The sequence below is a fragment of the Homo sapiens genome, chromosome 2, assembly GCF_000001405.40.
Source record: "Homo sapiens chromosome 2, GRCh38.p14 Primary Assembly".
Classification (NCBI taxonomy): domain Eukaryota; kingdom Metazoa; phylum Chordata; class Mammalia; order Primates; family Hominidae; genus Homo; species Homo sapiens.
In genome coordinates, this window is record NC_000002.12 from 215,748,196 (window position 1) to 215,767,783 (window position 19,588).

The 19,588-nt window shown below is 41.7% G+C and overlaps 1 long non-coding RNA gene across 1 annotated transcript in view, besides 1 other annotated feature; it reads right to left on the reverse strand.

Annotated features, from left to right (window-relative positions):
• Window positions 1-19,588, reverse strand: part of LINC00607 (long intergenic non-protein coding RNA 607) — a 231,974-nt gene that overhangs the window by 136,633 nt on the left and 75,753 nt on the right. Inside the window, exon 2 of the long non-coding RNA NR_037195.1 lies at window positions 2,048-2,222. This is a non-coding gene — a long non-coding RNA (long intergenic non-protein coding RNA 607). The remainder of the gene's footprint in view (window positions 1-2,047; window positions 2,223-19,588) is intronic.
• Window positions 14,364-15,563: an enhancer, noted in NCBI's record as "BRD4-independent group 4 enhancer chr2:216627282-216628481 (GRCh37/hg19 assembly coordinates)". NCBI's record gives its function as "activates an origin of replication core promoter dependent on BRD2, P300/CBP, MED14 and CDK7 cofactors, and independent of BRD4, by STARR-seq in HCT116 cells {active_cell/tissue: HCT116}" and the evidence as "EXISTENCE:reporter gene assay evidence [ECO:0000049][PMID:35650434]".

Consider the following 19,588-nt stretch of genomic DNA (forward strand, 5'->3'; position numbering starts at 1 on the left):
TCCTGAAAAGAGAGGCTAGTCCCAGTGTCACACTTATCTGAGGAGGAGGTGGGAAAACGGCACTCTGAAGGCAGGCCTTAGCCAGATAGGACAGAATTCCTAGCCTTTCTCTCTCCCTCTGAACTTTGAGTTGGCTCAGTTGGCTTGGGAGCAAAGCTTAAAGATGGCTTTGGACACACAAACCCAGCCCTGAAGAAGACAAGAAGGCATCCGGTAAGATATCTCAAGCTGAAGACTAACGCATCTTACTTTACAAAGTGTATTTCTCATTTTATGTTCCTCTTTTATTCGATGTTTTTGTTAAAAATCTAGCCTTCTGTGAGAGCCTTTAAAAATGCTTCAGCTGTGCTGGAGGAACTAAGGTCATGCTGGGGGTGCATGCTAGGAGAGGCGTGTCATCTGAGGCCAGCATGATCATGCCTGGTGTGACTCTTGGAGTGAACTTCTCAGTTCACATCCCTGGCCCCTTCCCAGGGACTTGCCCCGATTCAGTGAGGTGAGTTCCAGAGGTCGTGTCTTTACTTGGTGACATGAGCCAGGGCTACTTTCTTCAGGGCTGAATGCCTAAATGAAGCCGGGCTAATCATATTGTCTTTCCTGGAAATGTGGAGATTTGTGTTCAGAGGACCGGCACCTGAGGGTCCTGGAGCTGAGCCACAGAGCATCCTAAAGGGAAAGTCCAGATATTCCCACAGTTAAGGTCTCTGGAGCCTCCCTACTTCTTACCCTGCTGAGGTTTGGTTTTTAAACTCAGATCTTCTCAATACATTTTTCTTTTTACTTAAACTGGACAAAGTCTGTTTCTCCCCCTTTAATCAAATGAATCTCAATTAATACATAGCAGCGGCAGTCAATTTTTTTTTTTTAAAGAAATCTCCAAAGGCAAGGTAAGTAGTGGCGTATAGGAATAGCAGGCTTGAAGCTCTACCATTCAGTGGTAACCCTAAGTAAATCCCTAAGTGGAGAATCCTAAGTAAAATAGAGGTACAGTTACCAAATAATCAGGGTAGATCCCAGGGGTCAAAATCTGAGGAGAGTTAGCCTCAGGGAAGTGGAGCCATGATGTACCAGCAGCTGAGCACCAAGGAGAAAACAGAACACAAAGCATTAAACAGGCTGCCCAGTGGATGGTCAAAATAGGGGACAGGTGTGAGCAGAGTTTAGCTAAGGAGCTAAAGTTCAGAGGAATGACCTCAGGCTTAGACAAACTGAAACTCAGGGCAGGGACACAAGTCAGGGTGACAAAACACTACCCAGTGGGATCATAGGTCAAAGCAGAAGCCCAGTTACCAGAACTGGAGCACGAGGTCAGAGCAGGGCAGCTCATCAGTGTGTAACCAATGCTGCTGGACTCCTCAGTTTCCCAACAAGGGACAGGTCTGGTCCCACAGTCTGGAGCAGGGCTAAGGCTGCAGGCAGGGGTGAAGAACAAGGCAGCCGGGGTGTGGGGACAGGGAGTCAGTGCTCACACTGCGATCTCGCAGCCTTCTTCTCCATAGTGACACAGCCCTGGGGCCTCTGCTCAGCCCCTGAGCTTCCAAGCAGAAAGAGCTGTAGGAGAGGATGAAGTAAGTCAGGGAAACGGAGCCACCGTCATCAGCCTGGAGCCCTTGTCCTGCATGGAGTGGCGCGTGGGGGCGGAGGAGAGGGAGAGCTGCTTTTGTTTGTTTATTTCCTCATAGCAACTCACAAACTTAGCCAAATACAGATACAAATGAAGTGCATGAAAACTTTCCTAACTTCCTGACTCAGAATCGTTACTAAATATATAGATCAGATGTAGGCGGACGAAGGCAGAATTGTAGGTTCCACCTAACAGTCCTCAAACACTGCTGCCCCTGTGCCCCTCCATGTAGAAAGAGCTCCCAAAGGTCACCAGGATGTGCTTGCCGTTTTGCTCAGTATTTTCTAAAATAATCAAAATGGAAACTGAAAATTCACCTTCCTCATGTCTCCTAACCTCAGAGGAGCCAAGCACAACTGGAGAGGCTTGGTCGAAATTGATGATTGATTGATTAGTTATCCTCTCTTTAGTGCCCTCTCTCACCTTACTCCTCATTTACTCCTGTGACAGGCCATGACGGGGGCTCACAGGACTGAAGATATGGCTACAGTTCCCATGGGGTGCAGGTGATTCCAGCAGGCTGAGACGAAGTTTCAGCACAGAGGGCATGGATGAGTTGGTGTTTCCATGAGAGGAAGGATTGGATAGGTCACGCATTCTGAAACAGATTTGCAAGGGTCTTTAGAAGTTATCTGGCTCCAGTGTGCATCATCTGATGAAACTGGTTTATCTAGCAGTTGGCAAAGGGTAAGGTTATTCTTAATGAATATTTCCATGAGGGCCCAGGATTAGGTGTATCAACATGTTCATTCCTAGATTTCAGCTGTCCTTGAAGAAACTGGTAGAGGGGAAGGGAGAGGGAGTGGAGGCAATTGTAGAATAGAGAGGATCATATCAGACCTTGTCATGAAGGTAGTGTAAGCCTCAAAAGAATTTGTCACCAAGCTCCACAAAAGAAATAAAAACTTTTCCCTTCTTCCTTTTGTAATCTACCTTTACTGAATTTGGACTACATAAACTCATTTGTTTTCAATTTAACCGCTATGTGATTAGTGGGGTAGGTTGCCAGAATATGCAGAAAAGAAAATAAAAATACTGTAAATCAAGTTTTCCCATTCTTCACCCCTGCCGCCTTTGCATTTGGGGACCTTCAAAGCTCCTGGCAGGATGTGGCTTTGACTCTGGGTTTTCTCATGTACAGCCCTTAGAAGAGTGCTTGGCACATAACAAATGCTGTGTAAGCATTTGCGATTAGTAGTAACATTTGTAGTCACATTTGTACCTTTCATGTAGAATTCCCTACCCTTAATCCAGCCAACTCCTACCTTCCCTGATAGACCACGGCCTTCATCACTGTCCAGGGCTTAGGGCTTACAGAATTTAACTCTGAATACTTTGATTAAAATCATTGTTTCTACAGATGAGAAAGTTAAAAAGGACTCCCCACTTTATGTAGCTCTTGGAGAGGGAACTTGATGATTAAGCTACTCTCAATTATTAATACTGAGAAGAAGAAAAATGTGCAGGCAGTCCTCACTGCCATCCCCTCTTAAATTCCATCCATCTGCTGCCTGGATGGTGCTGACAAACCCCTATTTCACTTTTCACTTCATTGATTCACTCATTCAACAGTTTCCCTGCTGATTCATCCGTCTCAAAGTCAACTTGTTAACATTTTACCTTACCAATTCAGGAACACCAGCGGTTGGAAAAAGAATGTAAGTACTGGTTACTCCATAGCAGGAGATGAAAAGATGATTCATTCCTTACCATTCCTCTGCTTTCAATTACTTTTGTAAGAATACCATGTAGCAAAAGCTGAGGTGCCCTGCATGCAGTCAAAAACGTATTTTTGCACCTTTTTCATTCATGGATCCATAGGATTCTACTAGACAGTCCTCTCCCATTTAGGATTGTCTGTTCTCAATATCATAGACTAAATACAAACAACTGTGAAAGGCAGCTGTTCACAATGAAGCAGCCACAAAGCTAAGCACAAAGGTATTCTGCAGTGGTTTTTGAGCTTCAACTATCCAACTTGATTCATTCCCTGTAAGTCCAGTTTTCCCTAGCCTGCAAACATAAATAAGGAAAGTCATTTTCCTATTATTTACAGCAACTTCAAGACTCCATTTATCAAATTAGCTGGGCCACAGTCCCCTTCCCCAGGAATCCTCAAAGGTGGTGGTATTTCATGTGCTTTCCTGAGTCAGTTAATCTCTGCTTCCATGGGCTCAGGCCATCAATCTCCACTCCGTCCACTGGCCACTTAGGCCAACTGCCAGTTGCCATTTACTCCTCTAGAACTGCTGACCTGCCTATGGCGAATGCTGCTATTTCCATGCCACTCTTGGTTGAGGAGGGAAGGGAAAAGTGGGATGCACTCCCTCCCTGTTCCTTGCGTGTCTGGTGTATAAGAGATATTTCCTTGACACAGCTGAAACCAGGCTGTAACTTTTGACAACACTTCATTTAAGGTCCTGAGATAACAGGGGGGAATAGTAACCTTGCAGCTCCAAATGTAGTTCATGCACAGCAGCCTCAGCATCACCTGGGAGTTGGAGAGCAATTCGAAATCTCAGGTCCCATTCCAGTCTTCCTAAACAGTGTGCATTTTAACAAAACATTCAGGTAATTTGTATGCATGTTAAAGTTCGAGAAACATGAATTTCTTTTTTAAAAATATTTTTATTATACTTTAAGTTCTGGGGTACACATGCAGAATATGCAGGTTTGTTCCATAGGTATACACGTGCCATGGTGGTTTGCTGCACCCATCAACCCGTCATCTATGAGAAACAAGAATTTCAACACAGACGAACTTTCATCTGCATGCCACATATCCATCACTGGCCTCTCCACATTCACCCTCCACCCTTTTCCACCTTTGTTCTCTGCTTAGGATGTTGACCTCTCTTGACTGCATGGGTCAGGGCCTTCTTTCCCTACGGCTTCAGAGGATAGGAGGAAAATTGGGTTAGTTTGACCTCAGGCTGGCTGCAACCCTCTGGATTGTGAATTGCCTTGAGGAAGCCCAACTCACTTCCTTGGTCTTAGACCTGCTATGGAGGGCCCCATTTCCTTATCCAGAAATCGCTTCCTTTCACATATGATTAGTAGTGTGAATGTCCACCCTTATCAACCACTTTTATGGTTTCCCCCAGACCCAATACAACAATAACACTAAAACAGTCTGGGCGAACGGCTTACGCCTGTCATCCCAGCATTTTGGGAGGCCTAAGGTGGATAGATCACCTGAGGTCAGGAGTTCAAGACCAGCCTGGCCAACATGGTCAGAAACCCTGTCTCTACTAAAAAAATACAAAATTAGCTGGGCATGGTGGCATATGTTTGTAATCCCAGCTACTTGTGAGGCTGAGGCAGGAGAATTGCTTGAACCTAGGAGATGGAGGTGGCAGTGAGCCAAGATCACATCATTGCGCTCCAGCTTGGGCTAAACAGTGAAACTCCATCTCAAAAAAAAAAAAAAAGAAACCCAAAAAGCAAAAAACAGTGGCCCAATATTAGAACATTCTCCAACATCCACTTATCTAGTCTTGGAGAGCAGTTCATCTAAGACATCCATAGTCCTGCCCGGACCGATCAGTAAAAGCATAGTCTTCTGCTTTGGAACAATCTTTTCTGCAGTGTTAGGGCTGGATTTGCATGTTCTTCCAGCCAGCATATCCATCACAGCACGTAATATCCTGAGAAACAGCTCAAAGTGGAATAAACATATCTCCCCTTGAACCCATCACAGCTTTTGAAAGTTATAGGAGGGCCTCCACCCTTGCCCAATTATAATCCATTCTTCAATCAGGAACCAGAGTCCTCCTCCTAAATTGCAAATCAGATGTCACCCTTCTGTATAAAGCTTTATGCGGACTCAGTTTGTACGTAAAACATAAACCATGGCGTTGCAGTTCAGTTTTTCCAAGAAGCAGATCCTGAGATGAAGGTCAGTATATAGGAGGTTAATCGGTGAGTACTCTCAGGGTCAACTCCTGTGGAGGACATGAAGGAGGCAGGATTGGACAGAGAAGGAAACAGTTGCAGCAAAAGCTGCCACCAGTCCCACAGAGCTTTGGAACCTGCATGACTATGCAGCGTCATCCTTAATTGAATCAAAAGGAGCCCAGCCTTTGTATGTTAGCATTGCCAGTCATTCCTGGGCTGCCCTATGGAAAACAAGTGTGACCTTGGACCACCACCAGGCTCTCTTCAGCCAAGGGCAATTCCCAGTGGGACTTCAGCTTCAAACTGGCATTGCCCACACTCTTGGCAGCTGGGAAAAGGAGTGCTCCTTTCCAAAAAGTGGTGCGCTGGAGTTGGACCGGATAGCATAACACGGTCTACTACTCATGATCTGTACAATTCTCCAGGATCTGGCCCAGTGTACCTGTGTAACGTTGTCTTACCCACTCACCACCCACTGGACTGGAGTCTCATTGGCCTCCATCTGGATTCCTCGGGGACTCTGTACTTACTGTCCTCTTACCCAGACCGCACCCCCTGCATCTTTGTGTGGCTGGTGTCTTCTCCTTCAGGTCTTAGGTCAGAGATCACTGCCACAAAGACACCTTCTTTGACCACCTGTTTAATGTAACTCTCACACTTCATGTGCTTGTGGCTGTTAATGTCACACTGCTTATTTCTTTCATAGACCTTATCACAAAATGGCATTATGTATTTTCTTCCTTGTTTAAGTGCTGCTCAAAAGCTTCTTTAGGGCAGAGACTTTTTGTTGCTCTTCTTTATTCCTTTCCCCCAATGCCTAGGGTAGTGACCAAAACATAGCAGATGCTATAAATCAATGAATGAATGAACAGTGCGTTCTGAATTGGAGTTGTTTTTATACTTTCATGCTTTTAGAGGCATGGCTTCCTCTAAGTGGAGTGCATTGTCTTTCCTCCTAACAAATTCGCACTTGGCTCAAACGTCAGCTTCTCTGTAAAATACTGTCATCTGCTCATATGACCCCCTTCCCTTTCTCATCTTGCCACCCTCAGCTCTCTATGGCTAGCACAATGCCTAGCACAGAGGAAGCAGTGATAACATTGAATGCCCACTGTGTGCCCAGTATTGCTATGTGAACAAAACAGACAAAATCCTTGCCCTTGTGAAATTTATATTCTAGTTGGGGAAGACAGACATAAACAAAATAAATAATTTAACTATATACTTCTGCAGAAAACAGGGCTAGAGAATACTAGGTGTTATTGCAAAAATTAAAAAGAGTAGCCAGAGAAGATCTCACTGAGTCCTGAGCTTCTTCAAGGAGCAGCAAGGGAACCAGTAGGACATGAGCAGTGAGTGAGGGAGAGAACGGCAGAAGAGATCAAAGATGTAACGGGGCCAGACCATGAGGAGTCTTGTAATCACTGTCAGTGAGAAGGGAACCATTGGAGGCTCTTTCTGAGCCGAGGAGTAACACAACCTGACTTAGGTGTTGAGGGCGTCTGTATGTAGCTGGGCGCAGTGGTGGCACCTGTAATCCCAGCTATTTGGGAGGCTGAGGTGGGAGAATTGCTTGAGCCCAGGAGGCGGAGTGATCCAAGATCACGCCACTGCACTCCAGCCTGGGCGACAGAGCGAGACTCTCGTCTGGAAAAAAAAAAGAGAGAGAGAGAGAGAGCAGGTGGTATGGAGGCAAGTGTGGAAATCAGGAGACCTCCTGGGGCCAGTGGCCCAGGTAAACTTGGATTTCGCTGATGTCACCGGAGGTGGTAAAAAGTGGACAGGTTCTGGATATATTTGTAAGATAGAGCAATCAAGATCTGTTTGTAGATTGGATGTGAAATGAGCCAGAGGAGTCAAGGACTACCCAGCATTTTCGTCTAAGCGTGGAGTTTCCATTCACTGGATAGGTAAGATGGCAGGACAAGCAGGTTGCTGAGGGGGAGAGTAGAAATAAGGCATCGGGTAAGTTTGAGATGCCTAAATAGATACCCAAAATGGAGATAGTAAGTTGCTCATCAAGTAGAAAGGAAACCTGGGATCCAAATGCAGAAAAGACTTTTCTGAGAATGAGTAACTGCAGCAAACCATGTGCTCGATCAAGAAGAAGCTTTATGAAAGCAATAAAAGAAGAACTCTGTTGCAATACCCAAAACATGGATTTCATAACAATATATTTTTGTACAATACTTTAAAATTCTGAACTATGCCTGGACTTTCATTATATTACACGACTGCTGCGTTGGAAATATCTTTGTGTGAGGGAAGATAAAAGAAGCCAACACTTAATGGTCTTTATTTTCTGTTCCTTTTCTTTGTCTTTCTTTTGCCCCTCTCTCTTCATTCTCCCTCTCCTTCTCCCTCTTCCTCTCCACTTTCATATTTTCATGTCTCCTGCCAATGGCCACCCAAGGCATTCTAGGCATTTGATTCTCTCCCCCAAAACCAAAATTCCTCTTTTAAGAGTTTTGTGAATATAATTAGAGGAAAATACTTAGCACCACTTTGCATTTCTTTTGGGAAATACCAGTGATATGGTTAGGATATTTGTCCCCTCCAAATCACATGTTGAAATGTGATCTTCAGCACTGGAGGTAGAGCCTAATTGGAGGTGTTTTGGTCATGGGAGTGGATCATAAGTGGCATGGTGAATTCCCATAGTAATAAGTGAGTTCTCATTCAGTTCACATGAGAGCTGGTTGTTTAAATGAGTCTGGCACCTCCTCCGCTTTCTTGCTCCCTCCCTCACCATGTGACATGCTGGCTCCCCTTCACCTTCTGCCATGATTGAAAGTTCCCTAAGGCCCCCACCAGGAGCAGCTGCCAGCACCATGCTTCCTGTACTGCCTGCAGAACCATGAGCCAAAATAAACCTGTTTTCTTCGTAAATTACCCAGTGTTAGCTATTTCTTTATAACAATGCAAATGAATTAATGCAACCAGGAAACAGAAGGGAACACTTCACAATATACAATTAAAGTACAAAATTAGATTGGATCTCAGAAATACAAAAGGTCAAGGTTTTCATCATGAAATAAGAAAATGGATATATTTGAAATGGTAACTATATTGTTCTTGTATACTCATGGAGAAGGCAAAAAATGCATTGCAACTTTTCTAAAACTCATTGTAGGAAAAATTATTTTCTTATATACTTTAATTAGTAACGGATACACAACAAGGTTTAAAATTACTTGGGCTTAAATTTTTTAAATTACCTCATTGCTTACAAGTACCTATATTTGGTTTTAATCTTCAGTTGGAGCATTTCCTAATGTCACTGAAAAAAACTAAATTCAATAAATTTTAAAATGAGTTATTACTTACCTGAGGTTATTTTTATAAAAATAAAGAAACATTGGGTCACACTGTAATTGGCAGGATTGTTTTCTCTTAAGGGTAGATAAGATAATAGTGTGTTATATAATTAATGCTATCTTAAATTTGATGAATTACAGTACTAAACTAGGTATATATACAAACTAGGTATATACACAAGCCTAAGTGTGTGCATATGTATAAAAATGTAGACATAAGGCCGCACACAGTGGCTCATGCCTGTAATCCCAGAACTTTGGGAGGCCAAGGTAGGTGGATCACGAGGTCAGGAGATTGAGACTATCCTGGCTAACACAGTGAAACCCTATCTCTACTAAAAATGCAAAAAATTAGCCGGGTGCAGTGGCGGGAGCCTGTAGTCCCAGCTACTAGGGAGGCTGAGGCAGGAGAATTGCTTGAACCCGGGAGGCGGAGCTTGCAGTGAGTCGAGATCGCACCACTACACCCCAGCCTGGGCGACAGAGTGAAGCTCTGTCTCAAAAAAAAAAAAAAAAATGTAGACATAATGCCATTTAGATTAGTACCATAAATGGGTTAATAATTTAATATCAAGAATCTTAGATTTATTTGTAAATGGAGAATATTTATTTCTTCAACAAGTATTTTTCCAGAACATATTTGTTGAAGGCATACGACATGGTTTGGATATTTTGTTTCTGCCAAATCTCATGTTAAAATTTGACCTCCAGTGTTGGAAGTGGGCCTAGTGAGAGGTGTTTGGATCATGGTAGCCATGGTGGTGGATCATTCATGAATGACTTGGTGCCGACTTTGCGGTAATGAATTAGTTCTCACTCTGTGAGTTCACACAAAATCTCGTTGTTTAAAAGAGTCTGGGATCTCCCCCATCTCTTTCTCTTGCTCCTTATCAACATGTGACATGCCTGCTCCCACTTCACCTTCCACCATGAATAAAAGCTCCATGAGGCCTCACCAGAAGCTCTGCAGATGTCAGTGCCATGCTTCTTGTACAGCCTGGAGAACTGTGAGCCAATTAAACATCTTTTCTTTATAAATTACCCAGTCTCAGGTATTCCTTTATAGCAATGAAAACAGACTAATAAAGCATAGGTCAGTTGTGCTGGGTGCTAAGAATACTACAGTAAACAAAACACACATAGTTCCTATTCTTAGAAATTTCGGTTCACTTAGGGATATAGGCAATAAAAGAAATAAAGTGTCATAAATGTTTTAATAGAAGAAATTAGGTATGCATTATGAAAATAGAGCAGAGAGACTTGAACCTATAAATTCTTGTTGAAGGAAGTGATATTTTGGACTTAATCTAAGAAAAAACTGAAGTTAGCCAGTAAATGTGAGATGTGTGTCTGTATGTCAGGTGTGGTGGTGCTGAGATATTTTTAATATCATATTTACTTGTGATTTACCAAGTCTCTTTTAGAAAACATATATTGCCATTCTTTCTTGGAAGGAGAAGCAGAAGAAATAAATGTAGGCATTAATACTACCAACACCAAGTTCTGTCGTCTGAGATACCTACACATTTTCCTACCAACGAAAAGTCATAGTCTATTCTGAGAAGCCAACATCCCTCATAGAAAGGTTAACCAAAACGGCAAAACCAACAGGTACTAAGTAGGATAAGTCAAATATTAGGTGCTGTCTGATCCTTAGTAGGAACAATATTCTGAGATGCAAATTTATTTTTATTCTGCAGTTTGACAATAACTTTTATGGCCATGGCCAGTTTCATCTGAAATGATTGGTTCCAACTGATCTAAGTGAAAGGAAATGCTTTAGAGTTTTGCACAATGAACACTACCTCTCAGACAATGAGTTGGCCCATTCATGTGGTCTGCTGGCCAAGTCCACCTCGTTTTAGCCATATAATCATGCAAAGGATCTCTAGAGGCCCCACTCAGATGAGCCCAGAGAAAACTGAAGAAGAGAGAGCCGGTCTTTAGTGGGCTCAGGCTGGGACCATTGGCTCAGACAGGCCTCTCAGGACTTCATATCTCTGCACCGTCGCCTGTGCCTTTAGATTTCATCACTCTACACTAATTTTCACAGCTGTACTGTAAAATCCATAGGAAACTCTCAGAAGCTACTGAAAAGGTAAGAAAAAATGAATCACAGTAGATATGTTTGGTTCAGTTATGAACTAGATTCAATTTTTTAGCATTTATTATGAATAATCTCCTCCAAATCAAAGGAAATTGGTAAACCTAAGCACTAATGAAGACACAGGGACCAAAGTTCATCAATAATGAGAAGTAAAATCATTTATGAATATTCTAGATGCATATCTCATAATGCATATAATAAAAAAATGAGTTTTAACTAAAAATTTCATGAGAATAAAACTAATAATCCAATCTGTCGCTGACAAGTGGACTTATGGTTTAAAGGCCAAAAAGCTAATTAAAACTACAATAAAAGAGAACTTGCTAGTGATTATTGGCAGGATACATGTGACTGGGTTTTTTTTAGGTGTACATATACAGGTATGGAAAGAAAAGGCAGAGAGAAGGAATGGGACAGAATACCACAATTTCTCTAGAATATAATCCCTTGGGTTTAATTAAGGGGAATAAAGAGAAGATAATGGAAGATATGAGCCCTGTACAAGATTTGGACTCTCATCTAATTTAAAAGAATGTTTACAGAGGATGTTACATTGAGTGATGCCAAAACAAAGGAGAGAAATATGAGCCATAGCACAAGGTAGAATATGAGAAATAGAGAGAAACAAAGCAGAAACAGATGGGACAATGTTTAATCCTTGTGGACCAGGTGGAAGTGAGGAGGGAAGAACAGTCTACAGAGAGGGAAGTCTGCAGAAAGCATGGAGAGGGGCAACTAAGGGACGTGTTGAAAGAATATTAATCAATAATTATCATCAAGTGATAGGATCCCAAGCTGGAAAATAAAAAGGAAGAGCTCTGCTCAGAGATAAACTTCAAATGTAAACCAGTGTGTTTTTCTCATTGTTTGTACATGTGGATTTGCATTGAGCCACTCCATTTATATAGACAGTTGCAAACAGTGTATGGTTAGCCCAGTATGGCTGGCCAGGAGGTATTATTTGTCCTGCATAGTGATTTTGTATTTGTTTATGTTCTTATGCCAGCATTTAAATATTGGCATCATTTTCTTTCTAAAAAATAACAAATTTCTAGCTTCTCTTTAAAAATTAGAAAATCTGGCAACACAGGGATCATTTGCCCGATTTGCTCCAATCAACATCAGCCCGTTTCATTTGTTATTGTTACTTGACCCTGCAGACATTTCTGGACAGGGTCCAGAAATTCTGTGACCTCCTCTTCTGCCCTTGTCACCAGCATCTGACATTTTCAAGACACCTAATCAGAGACAGAGGGGGCCTAAGAATGCACAAAATAACTGACTGAGCCCATGACTTATTCCTTACTAGCAGTACTTTATTATAGCAATTTTAAAATTCTGTCAAAGTTAGTTATCTTTATGTCTTCCTACTAAATTCAGAAGTCAACTGGGGTGGCGAAGGGGAGCTATTAAAAAAAAACAAAAACAAAAAAACCTCAACTAGAATCTTATCCATTATTTCCTTCCCAGAACCTACTATATAACCAATAAGTGATTAAGTGAATCTTGTAAGCCATAGAGACTCCCACAGTAACCAAGCACTGGACCAGAGGCCCAAAACACAAGCTGGGCCAACACCCATGGAAACTGATGAATCACTGGTATATAGTCCATCTGCTTTGTGGAAACTACCTGAGTCTGTTCCAGCCCACCTGATACATATCATTTGACAACTGGAAAGGAAAATGTGGGTCTGTTGATATGGGAAAGATACTTCTGGACCAAAAAAAGAGAACTCCAGGAGAAATGTAAGGGAACATTCAAATAAGCTATATATGGTAGAGTCCAATTTTAGTCACTACAACACAAATGTTTGGGGGGGGTAGTGTTGGCAGCAGGGGTGGAGAAAAGGCAGTGTTCTTTCATTTCTATAGTAATCTACTATTCTCAAGCTTCCAGTCTTGACGATTCAGAGGTATGAACTTGTTGACTAAAAAATGTTTTTAAGAATTTTTTTAAAACCACAGTCTCCTCTAATTTAAAGCAGGTAAGTTTGCAGTCCCATCAAAGTTCAAACACTTTAGTGAAGCTATTTCTGCCTTTACAAGCAGACTTCCTTCCCTCTCCTCCCTCTCAATACCGCATCTGTACGTGATAGAGGTAAAAGGGGCCTGGGGTCACAGGGCCTTCCTCTGAATCACCTGGGGATGATATTGATGACTTCTTACAAGGTGGCTGGTCTGATCTGGTCCTGGCTATACTGCGTTACATTGGATCTTGCAATGTGGCTAATCCCACAAGTCCTTTTTGTTATGGGATGGTTCTGCACTACAATTCATTCTGATGCTAATCACTGCAGTTAGTGCCAGATTTCTCAGATTTTAGGGCACAATCTAAAGCAAAACTGCCCCACTTCAGATGCTAGTCACAAGTTTGGGGATCCTCAGGCCACTAGCACTTCTGACCAACTGGCTACAAATCCAGAAGGTCTCCATGACCTCCCTTAGGTTTGATAATTCACTAGAATGACTTACAGAACAACTTGCAGAACTCAGGGAAAGTGCTCTACTTACAATTACAGTTGTATTATAAAGGATACAAATCAGGGCCTGTCAAATGAAGAGACTCATAAGGAGAGGTCGAGGGAAAGGAGGTGGTCCCAAACATAGAACTTCCGTGCACTCTCCCCATAGAATTACATGTCACCCTTCCAGAAAATCAATGTGCTGACCAATCAGGAAGCTTCACTGAGCTTTTGTGTCCAGAGTTCTTATTGGAATTTTTTTTGAGGCAGGGTCTTGCTCTGTCTTCCGGGCTGGAGTGCAGTGGTGTGATCATAGCTCGCTGCAGCCTCAACTTCTCAAGGTCAAGCGATCCTCTTGCTTCAGCCTCCTGAGGAGTTGGGACTACAGGTGTGCAGCACCACACCTGGCTAATTTAAAAATATATATATTTTGTAGAGACAGGGTCTTGCTATGTTGTCCAGGCTGGTCTCAAACTCCTGGGCTCAAGTGATCCTCCTGCCTCAGCCTCCCAAAGTGCTGGGATTACAGGCGTAAGCTACCAAGCCTGGCCTGGAATTTTATTATGTAGACATGATTAATTGAATCATGGCCACATGATTGAACTCAACCTCTAGCCTCCTTCCCTGTGCAGAGGTTGGGAAGGTAGGCTGATATCCTGTGGCTCAACCTTCTAATCACATGGTTGGTCTTTCTGGCCTGCGCTTATCCCAAGTCACCTCATTAGCATAAACTATCAGGGGCCATCATGAATGAAAAAAGATACCCCTCTCACTCAGGAAATTCCAAGGGTTTAGAAGTTCTCCCTGGGAACCAGAGAAAAAGACTAGACAAATTCTTTATTATATAATAAATAGACACCCACCACTAAAGTTCAGGTCACAGCTATAATCTCCCATCTCAATGTCTCTGCATTCTATGGCTTTCCAGTCTAGACTCCAGGCCTCTTCCAGTCCACCTTCTCTCGGCATTTCTGCACCAGCTCCCACCTGGCGATGTGAAACTTCTGGTTGCTTTTCTGCAAACATCCCCCTATGCATGAGACCCACCAAGGCTTCAGGCACCTCCCTCAATTTGAAATGGAAACTGAAATCAACAAAAAAGAATGAAGATGGCTGGAAATGGAAAAAATATAAAACATGTATTAATTTTTTAGTGTCTTCAAATGATTAGCTTTTTAGGTTATTCGAAAGATGGCTATGTAAAGCAAATATATGTAGTGGGTTTTTTTTTATAGTGGTTTTTATAATATATGTAGAAGTATATTAAAATAGCAAAACATTTAGAAAGGGAGAAAATGTAAGTATGTTATTGCAAATTTCTTAGCTAAAGTAGTATAATATTATTTTAAATGGGTTACAATAAGTTAAAGATGCATGCTGTAAACCATAACAGGTTTAGTTAATATAGGCTTTGAAATAAGACACAATGATTTTCAAAGCAGAGGGTATCTTTGTCAGTTCAAGTTGCTATAACAAAGTACCATAGTCTAGTCTTGGTGGCTTAGAAACAACAGAAATTTATTTCTCACAGTTCTAAAGGCTGGAGGTCTGAGATCAGCATGCGGGCATGGTTTGGTTCTGGTGAGGTCCTGCTTCCGGTATTCAGGTTGCTGTCTTGTTGTGGTATCCTTCCATGGTGCAAAGAGAGTGAGAGAGCTCTCTGGGGTTCTGGGGATCTTTTTTTTTTTTTTTTTTTTTTTTGAGATGGAGTTTCACTCTTGTTGCCCAGGCTGGAGTACAATGGTGCGATCTTGGCTCACTGCAACCTCCACCTCCCAGGTTCACGCAATTCTCCTGCCTCAGCCTACTGAGTAGCTGGGATTACAAGCATGCACCACCACGCCCGGCTAATTTTGTATTTTTAGTAGAGACGGGGTTTCTCCATGTTGGTCAGGCTGGTCTCGAACTCCCAACCTCAGTTGATCTGCCCGCCTTGACCTCCCAAAGTGCTGGGATTACAGGCATGAGCCACCGCGCCCAGCCAAAAGAAAGAGTTCCACATGACTGGGGAGGTCTCACATCATGGCAGAAGGTGAAGGAAGAGCTAAGGGACATCTTACATGATGGCAGGTAAGAGACCTTGTGTAGGGGAACTCCCACGTATAAAATCATCAGATATTGTAAGACTTACTCACTACCACAAGAACAGTATGGGGGAAACCACCCTCATGATTCAATTTTCTCCACCTGGCCCCGCCCTTGACATGGGGGGATTATTACAATTCAACATGAGATGTGGGTGGGGACACAGCCAAACCATATCAACACCTCACTTAAGGGAATGCTATTGGAGGGAGTGGAGGGGATAGAAAGACTTTCCCATTTATACTTTATACAAAATATTTTTGTATTTTCTTGTATTTGTGTGTTTAAAACCTTTTAAATATTTAATATACTCTTGATTAAAATACGTACATACTCCTCCTCTTGTTTTCAAGCAAGAATGAAGTGCTGAGAGGGACATATATGGGATAATGAGGGAGCCCAAAGGTGAGCCCCAGACCAGCTGCCCTGAGTCACAAGACCCAGGTCATCCTCATCTCATGAGATAATATCTGGGGAACACAAGACAGGTTTTGCTACCATCAAGATGGATTGATAGTATCAGGCTCTCTAACCCTTCCCCAGACTCAGAGAGCTCCTATGGAACTCTCCTTTCTCTGAATGGTCTCAGCCCTTCCAAATTCTACCACATGACTTAGCAGTCAATTGTGCTCATACAACTCCAGTTCATGTTTCAAGAGTTTGTCTGTTGGTTTGAGTGTTTAGTTTCTCAGCACACATTTTCTCATACACACTGTATTATAAATTATGGTTAAATCCTCAAAACTTCCCACAAAAGGCTCTTTAAAGTTAATGTATTTGAAATATGTACTACCGATAGTACCATGTTAGCTATGCTTAGCCAGCATTTATAACTCTGTTTATATGGGGAAATGCATTCCATTTTGCAACTAGAGCTGGCAGGATTGCCTGGGAAAGAGGAGAGTTGACAGTGAGAGGGAGGGCTTTGGATAGTAGGGATTCCTGGGATTTCTTAACTCCATGGATATCAGAAGATGCACCTGAGTTGGACATCTGTTGCCCATCATTCATTCACTCTTCATCTGGAAATGACACTTTGATTTTACTTTAGGGAACTGCTCCCACTCTGACCCAGTGTATGTGGTTAGGTGGGGCTTATCCCACATACACACACCCATGACTCAGGCAGTACTGGCCACAGTGATTGATTCAGAGATGGCCATGCTCTGCCTTCCCAGTTAGATCATACACAACATGAGGACAGGAAGCATGTACTAAGCTCACTTGTATCCTCAAGATAATCCAGCACAGTGCTCAGCTGTAATGACATAGTCATGTCCAGACAAGGAGGAGAATGGACATGTATTGAGCAACAACCATGTGTTAGACTTTTTACATAGCTTTCACACTAAATACCTTTCTCCTACTCTATGTGATGCCAACTGGGGTGGTGTTTTCCAGAGACCGTTATGTTCTGGGAATAAAATCCTACTCAGTTTATTAATTTTAAAAGGTTTCACCTTGAGTTTTTAATATGGCTATAAGAAGAAAAATATTTAATTTCCCTTAACTATCTTATAGTGGTACTTTGCTCATTTATCAAAGAAATAACAATAATGATGCTTGTCTTGACTCACAGGTCAAAAACTCCCTCTTAAGAGCTTTAGAGTTTAAAAGAGATAAATTTGTGAGTGAACTTTGCAAAACACTAAACAAATATTATTATTGCTATTATCATTTCCATTATTTTTATTTTTATTATTATTTTCTTTTCTTCTCTTATCCATTCAAATGAATAAGGCATCCGAAAAACAAATGAAGACTGATTGAAACCACATTCTGCCTAAGCTATAGACTTTTCCATAACTTGAGATAAATAAATAGATTAAGCCACATCACAAACACACACACACACACCACCTGCAAAATAATCTTAAATATGATTATTTTTAATATAAATAAAGCAAATGCTAATTTTCCCTCTAGGGAAGTCATGGATTTTCTGTAGCTTGGCAATATATGTCTATAATAAAAATTTATATTTATGTTATTGGTTAATAGCTTTGGGTTAACCAATGAAATCATTTACCTCTATTCTAAACATTGCTTTTTTGCTAAAATAATATTTCTATTCTTTTAAACTGTTACCTGAGTATAGCTTTTGAAAACTCATTATGATTAGCTCAGCCTCGAGTTTTTTTTGGCAGGAGCCTCAGAGGCCAGCTACAAAAAGCTTCATTTCTCGTATAGAAGTCTGTTCCTCATTATCTCAAATACATCTCCACTCAGAAACTACAGCCTGCAGTCTTTCAAACATCATTCAGTCTGACACAAGGTAATGAACTTTCCCCATCTGAGGGCCCAGTGGGAGCTAGGGGCAGAAGAGGGAAGATAATCCCATGCTCCCCTGTCCTTGTCTAGTGTCCTGGGGCATCCTGTCTCATTATCTGAGAGACAGGACAAGGGACTGTCCTCCTTCCCACAGAGAACACACCAGCAGGTGAAAAACAGGTGCGCCTGAGCCTGGCTTTGAGTGAAGCTGTGTGCTCAAGAAAACATACGTGTGGCATATGGGCACCTGCAGAACCAGCATGGTCAAGCCATGAATGCATTCAAACTAAGCACCTTGCTTCTGTTTTGCCTTAGCTTGAAAAGTAAAGCAAGAAATGAATAGCAAAAAGCTCCAGGTCCAGCAGTCTATCACAGGAATTTTCCAAAGGAGCTGAAAAATCTGGATATGATCTCTTATACTGGAAAAGCCTATTATAATGCAGGACTGGGGAGAAGCTCAGCAAAAGGCAAAAATAAAGAAGGGAAAGTCAGCAAGAAATAAATTTCACTGGTCAACTCAGCAGTAACGCTGTCTGCAACAAGTCTTCAGCTCAGTTCTCACTTTTGGGACAAGTACTCGTTCATCCATCTGGAGCCAACACACCAATTATAATTCCAGATCTGCTCTAATAAACCAAGAGATCTTGAGCAGATCACTCTAGCAAGTGCTGAGGAGAGTATCCGGCACACAGTGGATACTTGATAAATATTGGCTAAATTTACATCTACCTTTTTGTTTCCAGGATTTCTCATTTGCAAAGTTGTCTAATTAATGGAGTAAATAACATTTCCACATTTGCAATGCATACCATTACATCATGCTTCATGGTTCAAGAATTATTTTCATATGCATTCTCTCATGAACTCTTCACAATAACTGTTAGTCAGACATGGAACAGGTGTTATTATTCTCATGTTACACACAAGGTAAGTATGGCTCAGGCACATTAACTAGACAATCACACAGCTAGTAAGTTATATAGCTCTTTAAATCTCATAGATTGTTAGATATCCTATAAGAAAATGTATCTAAAATTGCCTGGTACATAGTAAGTAGCCCATAAAAAGTAGTTCTATGGGGAGCCAGTAGAGCACAATAATTAAATCACAGGCTTTGAATTTTGTATCCAGACTCCATCACTTATTGTGATGGGTTGATTTTGTGTGTTACCTCAATTGGATCAGAGTGCCTCTCTGCCTGTCTTTGAGCTGGGACATAGGTGTTCTCCTGTCTTTGGACTCAGACTCGAGCTGGAACTATACCACTGGCTCTTTTGAGTCATCAGTTTTCCAGCTGGAGATCATGAACTTCTCAGGTCCCTCGTCACATGAGCCAATTCTTTATTTTATATACATGCACAAAAAAGAACCAATGGAGGAGATATCTATAGATATCTCTGTTTTTCTGGAAAACTCAGACTAATACAGATTTGGTACCAAAAAGTGGGGTGCCACTGTAACAAATACCTAAAAATGTGGAAATGATTTTTTAATTAAGTAACGGGTAGAGGAGGCTGGAAGAGTTTTGAGATACAAACTAGAAAAAGCCAAGACTGCTATGAAGGGACTGTTAAAGGCAATTCTGGTGATGGCACAAGAAAAAAAAAAGATGAAAGCTATAGAGAAAGCTTCCATCTTGGAGAATATATAAGAAATCATGAATAGAATGTTAATAGAAATATAGAAGGTAAAGGCCATTCTTGTGAGGTCTCAGACAGAAATAAGGAACAAATTATTGGACAATGCATAAAAGAATATCCTTGTAATAAAGTGGCAGTGAATTTGGCTGAATTGTTTTTTAGTGTTTTATGGAAAGCAAAACT